This window comes from Homo sapiens, chromosome 21 (assembly GCF_000001405.40).
Source record: "Homo sapiens chromosome 21, GRCh38.p14 Primary Assembly".
NCBI classification, from domain to species: Eukaryota; Metazoa; Chordata; class Mammalia; order Primates; family Hominidae; genus Homo; species Homo sapiens.
Window position 1 is genome coordinate 32,652,934 of NC_000021.9, and position 14,327 is coordinate 32,667,260.

Sequence of the window (14,327 nt, forward strand, 5' to 3'; positions counted from 1 at the left end):
TAATGCATTTTCTTCACTTGATAGAATGTTTTTCTACTATACAGATAAGCCAGACTACCCCCAATTAAAACTTTAAAACTTTTTGCATCATAAAATGTAATAAATCAAATTAGGTGCTAAACATGTTTCCTTCTTAGTCTATATCAACAGTTAATATCTCTGGGGAGGGGCCAAAATAAGCCTAGGCTAGTCAGAAATCCAGTCTAAATAAAAAACATTAAATAACTCCTCGAACATACCATAAGGTCTTTTCCCCTCCCATTTAGATAATCTTGCTGCATGTCTATAAAAATATCATACCATCTTCAGACATTTAATTTCAGAATGGTTTAGAATCAACAAATGCTACCTTACCTCTTTACCATTTAGGCTCAGAACATTCAAGGCAGAGCTTCCCTCCAAAAATGTAACCCACATTTTATCTTCTACAAATCTTTAAGAAAAACAATAAAAAACCATAATTAATACCATAGACATAACAAGCTCAGTGACTACTCCCATGATTATTGATCATTAACAAGGGCCACAAGAGGCCAGGAAGTAAAAAGTAAAGGAGGGAGCGCAGGTAGGGCTGGTGGTGACCTGGAGAGGGCACTCTTCCCCTAAAAACACTCTAACTCCAATTTCAAATACTATGTTAATGGAACAGCCACAAGAAATGAGTCTGTGCACCTCCATTTGTGATCACTGCTAATCCAGTCCCATCCAATCCTCCATTTCATTGACAAGGCAAAAAGGGACAGAGGTTAAGTGACTTGTTCAAAGTGACTCTATAAGGAGAATATGTTACAGGGCTGGGATCCAAGTCTCCGGACCCCACAACCCAGTACTATGTATTTTCACTGTCTCAGTGACTTCCCTGAAGAAAATTTCCTATGATCAAAAAAGATGAGAGTTGCCAGTGAAAGAAAACAAAACCAGACTGGCCCCAAGAAGCCTTAGATAAGTTATGCTCCTTGTCTTTCATCATTGACAAACATTTACTCTTTTGGGACTTCAATGGTCTTTGATAGGATTCCAAGTTTTTACTTTTGAAATAAAAAAACTATCAAGAGGAAAAAAAAAATAAAAAGGACAGAAGAAGTTCTGAAGAGGGTCGCAGGTATGTAATGAAGTTATTATTCAAAAAAGAACAAATTATGATGTTATCAGTCTTATTACAGAAAATTTGGCGAGTTAAACCACAAGTTCAGAAATCTTTACAGATTTTTCCACAATGAGAGGAAAACATGTACACACAAACACACACACACACACAGAGTATCACTCTCCCCCTAACCCCCTACTTAAACTAGGATTCCAAAGTATGAATTATGAATATTAAGAGGAAAAGGCCAAAACAAAAGTGTGCATAAGTACTTCACCCTGGTAAAATCAAGGGCCTGGAGGGAACCGATTTCTACAATCCCACAGATATGACCAAGGCAACTGACTCAATTTCTTTGGCATAAAACTAAATTGCAGGATGCTATCCTTTGAAATACACAGGGAGACCATTCTTACCTAACTACACGAAGGTATCTTTTTCAGATTGTTGGCAATGGAGACTATCCCTCCTCCAAAGGTTATAATCACCACTGTAAGCATACATTTATGCTGCACCAGTCCCCTAAGACCCCAAACATTATTTGTTCTTTGATAGGTACCAACACTTTTGTGGTCCTGGGTTAGGGCTAATATCTTTGTCCTTATTCTCAATCAGCAATGTGCCCCTTACACATTTCTAACTTTAACAAGGGATTCTGGTTCTTATATCTATTGATTTATGTAAGTTCTTTTGGAAGCTATATTTTCTTCCTGCTTTCACTCACTACAGTAAAAGCTTCTAGACTCTTCCTTCAATTAATGTAAGCATCTATATGTATTTAAATTTATCCCATACACATTTCCAGGGAACCTCTTATTTAAAAATAAAGGGGTTCACAGGGTTTACTCACTCCTTAATGGCTGTCTTAATCTAGACTAAAAGGTAATAATCAGTTTCTTCTCACTACTTATAGAGATCCTCTCCTTGTTGACTTTCAGTGTTTGCTTTTTCTCTTCCAACTTAGTCATCTTGGGGTTTAACAACCAATATTCCAGGTTGGAGACACCCCATGGTTTTATAATGTTAGGTTAATGCCTTAGTTTCTTACCAATACTTTTCCTAATGATGACAAACATTTGTGGGAAACCTTCTGGCTTCAATTTAACAAGTTCTTTAGAGGTTGGGTTATAAAGACAGGTCCCTTTCCTGTATCAGAGTCTTTCATCCCTTATACAGTTTGGATTCTTTGTAGCTCAGTGCAGTATTTTACATTTGCTCAGGAAGACATTTATCTGCTACTCTGCTGCCCACTCACACAGTCTACATGATGCTTCTGGTGGTTTGGCATTTCTGTACTTGGCAAAGTATACTGTCATCTGTACACTTGCAGATTTCACTGTGTACTTTCAAGAACCTTAAGATTTTTGAAATGTTTTGTTTTGTTTAATTTGAAAGCTTTGGGATAGACCTTTGTCAAAAGATTTGAGGAAAGTCTAAACACAATTTCTTCTCCATTTGTTCATTTACTCTCTGAAAGGACTTGAGGTGTCTTTGATTTTCACTCTGTAGAAGCCATACCATCTTAATTCTGTGGACTACGCCCTTTAGGATCTGGGGGTGTCATTACACACATGCTGACTTTCCCTACTAGATTACAAGCAGGAGTTGTATCTTCCATTTCTCCTCTGCTCTTCTACAGCAACTAGTATAGAGATCTGCCCACCAAATATCTATCAAACATACCTAACTAAGCAAATGAATGGTATTTAAAGGGATTTAATGGTACCTCTTTCCCTATGAAATCCAAACACATGCACACATGCACATCATTCAGTCTCTCAAAACTGCTGTATAGTTGGAAGAGAACATTTTTAAAACAAGGAAACAGGCATCTGGTTCTGCAAAAGGCAGATGGCTAGATCAATGAGGGAAACCAAGACTAGAAGGAATGACTCTTGACTAGTCATCACATCTCTGTTAGAAATTAAACATACTTAAAATTACTCAAATTTCTTTAACTGAGGCAGGGAGGGAGTCATTCTTATCTCTCCTTAAAAAAAAATAGCAATCACAGCTTCATTTTGTTATAGGGTTTTGTTACATGTTCTATTGTATAGGAATCGTGAGAGTTCATATCTGAACTTGCACCTATTTTTGTTTTCAATTGTTCACATAAAGTTTCACTGTTTAGCTGGGTATGGTGGCTCACGCCTGTAATCCCAGCACTTTGTGGGGCTGAGCTGGGCAGATCGCTTAAGGCCAGGGGTTTGAGACCAGCCTGGGCAACATGGTGAAACCCTGCCTCTACAAAAACAAAACAAAACAAAACAAAACTTAGCCAGGTGTGGTGGTGTGCACTTGCAGACCCAGCTATTTGGGAGGCTGAGGTGGGAGAATTGCTTGAGCCTGGGTGGTTGGGGCTGCAGTGAGACATGAACACATGACTGCATTCCAGCCTGGGTGACTGGGTGAGACCCTGTCTTAAAAAAAAAGTTTCACTATTCATTTAAACTTTCTAAGTTGAGAATTCAGTTATAAAAACCTACAGAATAATATCCACAGTATGATCTTGCTTTAGTTTGGAAATAAAAATACTCATATACTAAACACTAAATAAGGTGGTATCTTTCTTTTTTAAAATTCTCTCCTTCCCCAAATAAGGTGATTTCTATATAGAAATGATTGTTTATGAATCACAAGCTACTTTTGCATAATAAACATCTTACCTTATAAGTATAACTTCACCAAAACTTGCAAACTGCTGCAGAAGCTCATCAATCAAGGCATCATCAAAAAAATTATTTTCTGGTAAAGAACTTTTGATTGAGACCAATACTGTACCATCTGGTGGACCCTGAACTGCAATTACTTCTTTATAAATGTTTTGCCTCTCTTCAGCTTCAACTTCAAATATATCTATATCAATCAGGGCAACGACAGGCCTTAAGGCATAAAGGAAGATAGATGTATTAGAAATGTTTTTAAAAGGGTGTATTTCAAACAAATTTCAAACACTATTAGAAAAACTGAGACTGCTTAAACCTGTGGTCAGAAGTCTTCAGCTCAGCTCTTCCATAGTGCAGCAAAGTGCCTGGAGTCCACGTGTACAGAATTTTGCTTTCATCTTGAAAACTAGCATTTAGAAGATCTAGATCTTCAGCTGCAGTCAGAAGAAATGAAAACACAAGAGAAGCTGTATAAGCAGGACAGATCGTGTAGAGCAAAGAGGCATTCTCCTTCCTTTCATGAGCTTCAGTGGTTTGAGGCTGGAATGCCAGAAACACTTGGTAATAGGCAGGCAGTCTAAATACCTTTAAATTCGAAAGGTTTTGGTAAAGTTATCATTTTATGCTTTATTTAGTAAAAATTAAGATCTGGCTTTATTTCCAAGATTACTTAAAGGACTGGGACTAAATGGTGTTTCATAAACAATTCAAGAGACAAGTGGCAGTTCAAAACATATGCAAACCACTAAAGTTAGCTTAAAAACCTAAATTAGCTTCAATTAAAAATTTCACAAAAATATTTCCTTGCTTCTCTTTACATGAAATTATATGAAAATAGGCTGAAAAATTAAATAAGTTATTATAAACAGATCTGATATTTCTAAAAATCTGACATATTTAAATTTTATTTATTCTATTCCAGTTAATGTTTCTTGAAAAACAATATTCTCCTCATTTGATATTATGTCATTCCCTGCTTCCTCATAAGTTTACATTAGTTCATTTAAATAAAGAAGCCCATTTCCCAACCTGATCTATCAAAAGGCCATTTCCTCCTTCTCCAAAGGACACGGTCTGTCCAGGCAGGGGTGCGGCACTTTTCACTGGTGTCATAGTCGTCAGAAAACAAGTCATACTTATATGTCGGAGCAAAGGTTACCTTTCCTTCTAAAAATCCTCTAAAAACCTAAAATAAACATATACAAAGTAAGTTATTCCCAAACAGCAACAAGTTCTGTTTTCATTCAGACAGTCATCCATTAAATGTCTATTACATGCTGGATGCTCTCAGAAGAAATCTGTATGCGTCTGATGAACACTTCTAGCTGAATGGAACAAAGCTTAGAAAAATAACCTGAGACATAGCATTTTTCATACCCATAGGGACAGGAGACAGGGAAATTCTGGGCAGAAGTGGGTGGGTCCCTTTGCTGGGTCCCACCCTCAAGCCAAAAAGTCTGTTACCACAGCCCCAAATGAGAACTTATATCCCTGTTTTCTCGCTCGAATGTTGCTTTTTCCAAAACCACCCATGGCCTGCCTTGCCCCCAATCCTGTGCCCATAAAAACCCCAGGCTCAGCTGGCAGAGAGAGGAGAGGCAGCTGGATGTCAGAGAGAAGCAGCTTGACTTCAAAGGGACAGCTTGGCAGCACAGTTTTGGAGAGGAGTCTGGCCATGGGATGGCTGGATTTCAGGGGAAGATTATCTTATTGCTCTGTCCCCTTTTCAGCTCCCCTTCCTGCCAAGAGCCATTTTCATCGGCAATAAAATACCCCATATTTACCATCTTCAATTCGTTCATGTGACCTCATTCCTCCTGGACACCAGATAAGAACTCGGGTGCCATGAGTGTGGGAGCATAAGGCTGTCGCACTGACCCCCCACTAAGCTGTTAACACTTAAGCCATCTGCAGGCAGCAGAGCTAAAACAGCACTGTAACACTTTCTGTGGGGCTTCAGGGGTTGGAGGCACCCTCCCCTAGACACTGCCACGGGCCTGGTACAAAGTTCGCTCTTGCCGGTGCCCAAAAGCGCTCACCCCAGCTCCTGCACTCACTTACCAGAACTCCCCCTCCTACAGGGGTGGAGTGCAGTGGGTCAAGTGAGCAGAGTTCGCCCCGCCAGTGCCCATGCACTCCAGTTCCCACCTGCGAAGCAGTCAGGGAAATATCCTGCTTCAATACCACTTGTTTGACATTTGATTAAACTAACTACATGAATAAGGGAATTCTGCCTGATCTTTGAGCTATATGAGACATTTGGAACTGTAAATGGGATTCTGGAAACATCTAGCCTGATATCTTATTCTCAATGAGGTGCTGAGGCCTGAAAAGGTAATGTGGTGCCCAAAGATTCAAGTCTGGTGATCACCAGGCACCATACCAGATGGCCACTGATCCTTTTACCTAAAAAAAAAAAAAAATTTAATAAATTCTTCCCAAATTTTGTGGTCATAAGCTTTAAGAAGTGTTTCAAAAGTCAGATGACATAGAAACAAAAGAAAAGTCAATAACCACAGGACTTAACCCAAAAAAAAAACAGCCCTAAAGATGAAGATTCTAAACTATCACCAAGGAAAAAAAAGTTTATCCTTCTATTTGAAAGTGAATCTTATAGATACATAATATATTTTTCTTTATGGGAATTATTATGGGTTTTCTCTTTCCTATTTTTATTACTTTTAAGGGAGGACACCACCCCACATATTGTCTTATGCCCAATTTCTGCCTCCAAAGAAAGAAGAAGTAAAAACTAAAAGGCAGAAATGGAAGCCACAAGCAGATAGCCCAGCACTGCGCCCTGGGCCTGGTGGTTAAAAATCAACCCCTGACCTAACTGTTTGTGTTACCTATAGATTTCAGGCCTGTATGGAAAAGCATCATGAAAATCCCTGTCCTGTTCTGTTCTGATTACTGGTGCATGCAGCCCCCAGTCACATACCCCCTGCTTGCTCAATTGATCATGACCCTATCACGCGGACCCCCTTGGAGTTGTAAGCCCTTAAAAGGGACAGGAATTGCTCACTCGGGGAGCTCAGTTTTTGGAGACGCAAGTCTGCCGATGCTCCCAGCTGAATAAAGCCCTTTCCTTCTACAACTCGGTGTCTGAGGGGTTCTTGTCTGAGGCTCGTCCTGCTACATTTCTTGGTTCCCCGACCGGGAAGTGAGGTGATTAACGGATGGTCAAGGCAGCCCCTTAGGTGGCTTAGGCCTGCCCTGTGGCACATCCCTGTGGGGGACTCCGGCCAGCTTGAGCAATGCGGATCCTGAGAGCACTTCCGGGTAGGTAATTGCCCCGGTCGAACGCCTCACCACAGCAGCGCATGGCAGGCCCCCATGAGTTAAAGGAAAAACTTATGTTGGCCCCAGCCCTAGGACTACCAGATTTGACAAACCCCTTTACACTCTATGTGTCAGAAAGATAAAAAATGGCAGTTGGAGTTTTAACCCAGACTGTGCGGCTCTGGCCAAGGCCAGTGGCCTATCTCTCAAAACAACTAGATGGGGTTTCCAAAGGCTGGCCCCCATGTCTAAGGGCCCTGGCAGCAATGGCCCTGTTAGCACAAGAAGCAGATAAACTAACCCTTGGGCAAAACCTGAATATAAAGGCCTTCCATACTGTGGTAACTTTGATGAATACCAAAGGACATCATTGGCTAACAAATGCTAGATTAACCAAGTACCAAAGCTTGCTATGTGAAAATCCCCGCATAATCACTGACGTCTGTAACACCCTAAATCCCGCCACCCTGCTCCCAGTATCAGAGAGCCTGGTCAAGCATAACTGTGTAGACATGTTGGACTCAGTTTATTCTAGCAGACCTGACCTTCGGGACCAGCCATGGGCATCAGCAGACTGGGAGTTATACATGGACGGGAGCAACTTCATCAATCCACATGGAGAAAGATGTGCAGGATATGCGGTGGTAACTTTGAACGCTGTCATTGAAGCCAAACCATTGCCACAGGGCACTTCAGCCCAGAAGGCTGAGCTCATTGCTTTAACTCGGGCTCTAGAACTCAGTGAAGGTAAGACTGTAAACATCTACACTGACTCTTGATATGCCTTTCTAACCCTCCAAGTGCATGGAGCATTATATAAGGAAAAGGGCCTGTTAAACTCTAGGGGAAAGGACATAAAATATCAACAAGAAATTCTACAATTATTAGAGGCAGTGTGGAAACCTCAGAAGGTGGCAGTCATGCACTGCAGGGGACACCAGCGAGCCTCCACCTCAGTGGCCTTAGGAAACTCCCAAACTGACTCAGAAGCTCGAAAAGCAGCATCTACCCCTTACTGTGCATCAGTAGCAGCCCCCTTACTCCCTCAAACACCTGACCTGGTACCTACCTATTCTAAGGAAGAAAAAGACTTTTTCCACACAGAAGTGGGGCAAGTAATAAAAGAAGGATGGATCAGACTGCCAGATGGGAAGGTAGCTGTGCCACAGTTGCTGAGAGCCACAGTCGTACTGGCCATGCATGAAACCACTCTTCTAGGTCAAGAGTCACTTGAAAAGTTGTTAGGCCGGTACTTCTACATCTCACACTTGCCAGCCCTTGCCAAAGCAGTAGCACAATGGTGTGTTACTTGCTGACAGCGCAATGTGAGGCAAGGCCCCACGGTTCCACCCAGCATACAAGCTTATGGAGCGGCTCCTTTTGAGGGTCTTCAGGTGGATTTCACAGAAATGCCAAAATGTGAAGGTAACAAGTATTTGCTGGTTCTTGTGTGTACTTACTCTGGGTGGGTGGAGGCTTATCCAACACAAACTGAAAAGGCCTACGAAGTAACCCGTGTGCTTCTCCGAGATCTTATTCCTAGGTTTGGACTGCCCTTACGAATTGGCTCACATAACGGGCCGGTGTTTGTGGCTGACTTGGTACAGAAGACAGCAAAGGCATTAGGAATCACTTGGAAACTACATGCCGCCTACTGACCTCAGAGTTCTGGAAAGGTGGAGCGAATGAATCAGACTATCAAAAATAGTTTAGGGAAAGTATGTCAGGAAACAGGATTAAAATGGATACAGGCCCTTCCTATGGTATTGTTTAAAATTAGATGCATCCCTTCTAACAGGATACTCCCCTTATGAAATACTGTATCATAGGCCTCCTCCTATACTAGGGGGACTTCCAGGCACTCCCCGAGAGTTAGGTGAAATTGAGTTACAGTGACAGCTACGGGCTTTGGGAAAAATTACACAAACAATCTCAACTTGGGTAAATGAGAGGTGTCCCGTCAGCTTATTCTCCCCAGTTCACCCTTTCTCTCCAAGTGATCGCATGTGGATCAAGGACTGGAACGTAGTCCCTTTGCGGCCACAGTGGAAAAGACCTCACACCATCATCCTGACCACCCCCACGGCTGTAAAGGAGAAGGAATCCCAGCCTGGATCCACCACAGCCGTGTGAAACCTGCAGCTGCTGAAACTTGGGAGGCAAAACCGAGCCCAGACAACTCCTGAAAGTGACTCTGAGGAGGATGACAAGCCCTGCTCCAGTCACACCCGGAAGCTGACTGGTCTACGCACGGCCGAGGCATGAGGAGAATCATCGTGGGACTCATTTTCCTTATAATTTGGACTTGTATAGTAAAAACTTCCACTGATTTTCCCTGCATAGAAGACTGCTCTCAGTGTATACATCAGGTTACTGAGGTAGGGTAACAAGTTAAAACAATCTTTCTGTTCTATAGTTACTATGAATGCCTAGGAACTTTAAAAGGAACGTGTTTATATAATGACACTCAGTACGAGGTATGTAGCCTAGGAAACGACTGCCCAGATGTGTGTTATGATCCCTCTGTGGCCTCCCAGGTCCACAGTTTTTGAAGTAAGATTAAGGACTGAAGACTGATGGGGACTTGTAAATGATACAAGTATTAGCCAAAACAGAAGAAAAAGGGGTGCCCAAACGCATAATCTTGAAATTTGATGCCTGTGCTGTCATTAAGAGCAATAAGTTAGGAAGGGGTGTGGCTTTTGATTGGGAAAAAGGCTATATGACCAAAAATAAGTATATTTGTCATGAATTAGGACTGTGTGGAAATCAATGTGGATACTGGTGTCATTTGGGCCACTTGGATAAAAAATGAAAAGGATCCAGTGCAGCTTCAGAAAGGAAAAAGTGGCCCTTCCTGTACTAAGGGACAATGTAACCCCTTAGAGCTAGTAATAACCAATCCCCTTGATCCTCGCTGGAAAAAAGGGGAGCGTGTGACCTTAGGAATCAATGGGGCTGGACTGGATCCTCGAGTAAATATCTTAGTTCGAGGAGAAGTTTACAAACACTCTCCTGAGCCAGTGCTTCAAACTTTCTATGATGAACTAAATGTGCCAGTACCAGAAATTCCAGGAAAAACAAGAAATTTGTTTTTGCAATTAGCCAAGCATGTAGCCTAGTCTCTCAATGTTGCTTCACATTATGTATGTGGAGGAACTGTAATGGGAGATCAATGGCCACGAGAAGCCCGAGAATTAGTACCTACAGACCCAGTTCCTGATGAATTCCCAGCTCAAAAGAATCACCCTGATAATTTCTGGGTCCTAAAAACCTCAATTATTGGACAATATTGCATAGCTGGAGAAGGAAAAGAATTCACTCACCCCGTAGGATGACTTAGTTGTCTGGGACAGAAACTGTATAATGGTACCACAAAAACAGTCACTTGGTGGAGTTCAAATCACACAGAAAGGAATCCATTTAGTAAATTCCCAAAGTTGCAAACCGTGTGGACCCATCCGGAGTCCCACCAGGACTGGACAGCCCCCACTGGATTATACTGTATATGTGGGCATAGAGCTTGTGCCAAATTATCCAACCAGTGGACAGGTAGTTGTGTTATTGGCACTATTAAACCATCTTTCTTCCTACTGCCCATAAAGACAGGCAAACTCCTGGGTTTCCCTGTCTATGCTGCCCGAGAAAAGAGAAGCATAGCTATAGGAAATTGGAAAGATGATGAATGGCCCCCTGAGAGAATCATACAATATTACAGACCTGCTACTTGGGCACAAGATGGCTCGTGGGGATACTGGACCCCCATTTACATGCTCAACCGAATCATACGGTTACAAGCTGTCTTAGAAATAATCACTAATAAAACTGGCAGAGCCTTGACTATACTGCCCTGGCAAGAGTCTCAGATGAGAAATGCTATCTATCAAAATAGATTGGCTCTCGACTACTTGCTAGCAGCTGAAGGTGGGGGTCTGTGGGAAATTTAACCTTACTAATTGCTGTCTATACACAGATGATGAAGGGCAAGTAGTTGAAGACATAATTAGAGATATGACAAAACTGACACATGTGCCTGTGCAAGTGTGGCATGGATTTGATCCGGGGGCCATGTTTGAAAAATGGTTCCCAGTGCTAGGAGGATTTAAAACTCTTATAATAGGAGTTATAATAGTAATAGGAACCTGCTTACTGCTCCCTTGTTTGCTACTTGTACTTCTTCAAATGATAAAAAGCTTCATCACTACCTTAGCTCACCAAAATGCTTCAGCGCAAGTGTACCATATGAATCACTATCAATCTGTCTTGCAAGAAGACATGGGTAATGAGGATGAAAGTGAGAACTCCCATTAATGAGTGAAGTTCTCAAAGGGGGGAATAAGGGAGGAGACCACCCCTCATATTGTCTTATGCCCAATTTCTGCCTCCAAAGAAAGAAGTGAAAACTAAAAGGCAGAAATGGAATCACAGGCAGATAGCCCAGCACTGTGCCCTGGGCCTGGTAGTTAAAAATCAACCCTTGACCTAACCGCTTGTGCTATCTATAGATTTCAGACATTGTATGGAAAAGCATCGTGAAAATCCCTGTCCTGTTCCATTCTGATTACCAGTGCATGCAGCCCCCAGTCCCATACCCCCTGCTTGCTCAATCGATCACGACCCTCTCACATGGACTCCCTTAGAGCTGTAAGCCCTTAAAAGGGACAGGAATTGCTCACTCGGGGAGCTCGGTTTTTGGAGACGTGAGTCCGCTGCTGCTCCCAGCTGAATAAAGCCCTTTCCTTCTACAACTTGGTGTCTGAAGGGTTCTTGTCTGCAGCTCATCCTGCTACACTTTAAGGAAAGATAATTCTATTATCTGTTTACCTACAGATGCATATTTAAGTACAAAAAGACCCCAAGAAAATTTTAAAACATCTTGATTTAAAAAGGCATGTTTCACGACCCAAAATCTTAATGCAAGTATTTTCTCAAGTATAGATATACCTGTCCAGCATTTTTCTGATTGATAAGTTGATCTCCTGCTATAAGAGAATCCCAATTTTGCTGTCTTATGAGCTCTTTAACTTCTTCGTTAGGGAGATCGATTCGATAGTTGAAATCACCACACCAAAATACATAGTCATGGGAAAATAGCATCCTTCCCTGAAAGCAATGAGATAGAATTTTAAATTCAAAACAATCAATGTTCAAAAATGTTTTACAACTATTTCTTTGCCTGAGATATGCTTGTCTCCTCCCATGTCCTGTTTCTTTGACCCAACAGTAATAACACATGTGAAACGAAAATAAATCTCAGGACCCCAAAATCACTAAGCCCAGAGAAAAATCAAGCCAGGAACTATGACAGGTAAACCTGCCTCCCATTTTACTCCTAAATAAGATAGCTCCAAAGATAAGAAGCTACATAACTCCCTCACAATTTGCCCACAGGAAATTCCTTGTGGACAAAGTATAGACTGAACTCAAAGTCATCCCTCTGAGACTCACCTGAGACAAATGCACATCTGACTGCTTCCTCTGCCCTATTGTTTATGCAAAAATGCAGATTCACTGAGCCACACTAAATTGTGTATTCAGTGGAAGGCTGATCTAGGACTTAAAAGAATGCAACCTTTTGCGTCTTATCTACTTCTAACCTGGAAGCCCCCACTTCGAGTTGTCCTGCCTTACCAGACCAAACCAGTGTACATCATACACATACTGACTGATGTCTCAGGTCTCCCTAAAATGTATAAAAGCAAACTGTACCCCCGACCACCTTGGGCACATGTCATTCTGAATTCTGGAGGCTATATCATGGCCACATCCTTAACCTTGGCAAAATAAACTTTCTAAATTGACTGAGCCCTGTCTCAGATATTTTGGGTTAATACTCATGAAATATCTATTTAGGTGAATATTCTTAATGTTTCTAGGAACTATCTTAAATTTCCAAAAACATTGATGTAGAATTTGGGGCAAATTAAAATATATTTCAAAGCTTTATCTTCAAGAACAAGCAGCAAGAGCTTACCATAGGAAAACTCAATTTTCGTGCTATTTCTATAAAATCTTCATTTCTTTCTTTGACTTGTGACTGCCCTGCAGCAAAGTGGCTACAGACGAAGCAAAGGCTGGTTGTATGGAAGAGCATTCGGATTGCAACTGCTCCCTTATTTCCAGTTGCACCTCCCATTCCAGTCTTCACAGTATCAACTGCAACATCCCTTTGAAACAAAGAATTCTAAATCGCAGATTTGAAATTTCAAGAGTTCCATGTGCATAGGAAATGAGGAATATACATAATCATTTAAGTACACATGGTATGGTACTTTGAGGGCAAGCCTTTGAAATAGTACAGTGAAGCTATTGGTGAGTCTTTAATCAAAACCCCCAAAACCCCATTTTAAAACAAGAACTATGGATAGTTTTTGTTTGAAGAACTGAAACAATAAACATTCTAGGCTTTTTTCTTGTTATTTAATGGTAGGAAGTAGCCTTAGAGGAGTGTTCTGTTTACTGACCTGATAAAAGGAGCATGCTGTGGTCTGATAAAAACAAACAAACAGACGCCCACCAACTGTTCAGAAGCCAGCAGCACATACTTGTTGTCTCTGGAGATTGTCTTCTGAAGTTCTACAGCCCAGAGCTTCTGATTTGTTGTGCTACAAGAAAATATTAAAAAGAGAATTTTTTAAAAAGGTATTGACAATAGCCTATTTTATGACAATTGTCAATTATACCTTTATCTACCCAAATATCCTAAGACTCTGAAGGAAGCTTAGGCTGTTTTTGTTTCCTTTAAAAAGGAAAATCTACAATTTAGCCAAAAGAAAACCACATTTCAAAATCTAATCTATTACTTCTTTACAAAGAAAATATAAAGACATTAAATGGCTACTCACTGGGTGAGTAAATTCAAACTTATACATTTTACTTTTTCCTTAAGTATTCATTAAGATCACAGAGAAGTATAGAAGTATCTGTGGGAGATTGGTTTCAGGACCTCCCATGATACCAAAATCCAAGGATACTCAAGTCCCTTACATAAAATGGAGTAATACTTGCATATAACCCATGTAAATCTCTCGTATACTTTAAATCATCTCTAGATTACCTATAATACCTAATACAATGTAATTAGTTGTTATATTGTAATGTTTAGGGAATAACGATACAAAAAAGTCTGCAAGTAAAAAAGACAAAAAAAAAAAGGCTACACATGTTCAGTATAGACACAATTTTAAAAAATATTTAATATTTTGATGAGTTGAATCCAAAGATGTCAGACCCATGGATAAGGACAGCTAACTGTGCACATATATGTGACTATATGTGCTTCCAAATACATT

General features: G+C 41.0%; 1 protein-coding gene and 1 long non-coding RNA gene across 25 annotated transcripts in view, besides 1 other annotated feature; one reads left to right on the forward strand and one right to left on the reverse strand.

Moving 5' to 3' along the window:
- The window catches only part of SYNJ1 (synaptojanin 1), a 99,636-nt gene that overhangs the window by 24,175 nt on the left and 61,134 nt on the right, over positions 1 to 14,327 (reverse strand). For all 24 annotated transcript variants that reach the window (XM_047441038.1, XM_017028497.3, XM_017028499.3 and 21 more), the window contains 7 exons: positions 13,500 to 13,640; positions 13,010 to 13,202; positions 11,980 to 12,138; positions 4,783 to 4,939; positions 4,070 to 4,187; positions 3,754 to 3,969; positions 355 to 433 (listed from right to left, as the gene is read on the reverse strand). In XM_047441038.1, coding sequence (XP_047296994.1) covers positions 355 to 433; positions 3,754 to 3,969; positions 4,070 to 4,187; positions 4,783 to 4,939; positions 11,980 to 12,138; positions 13,010 to 13,202; positions 13,500 to 13,640 — 1,063 coding nt within the window. The remainder of the gene's footprint in view (positions 1 to 354; positions 434 to 3,753; positions 3,970 to 4,069; positions 4,188 to 4,782; positions 4,940 to 11,979; positions 12,139 to 13,009; positions 13,203 to 13,499; positions 13,641 to 14,327) is intronic.
- Positions 8,289 to 8,478: a silencer, noted in NCBI's record as "fragment chr21:34033532-34033721 (GRCh37/hg19 assembly coordinates)". NCBI's record gives its function as "represses an EF-1alpha promoter that drives an FKBP-Casp9 reporter gene in an ReSE screen in HepG2 liver carcinoma cells {active_cell/tissue: HepG2}" and the evidence as "EXISTENCE:reporter gene assay evidence [ECO:0000049][PMID:32094911]".
- Positions 8,295 to 11,783, forward strand: LOC124905011 (uncharacterized). The gene is made up of 2 exons (XR_007067845.1): positions 8,295 to 8,460; positions 8,566 to 11,783. It is a non-coding gene; the product is annotated as an uncharacterized LOC124905011 (long non-coding RNA).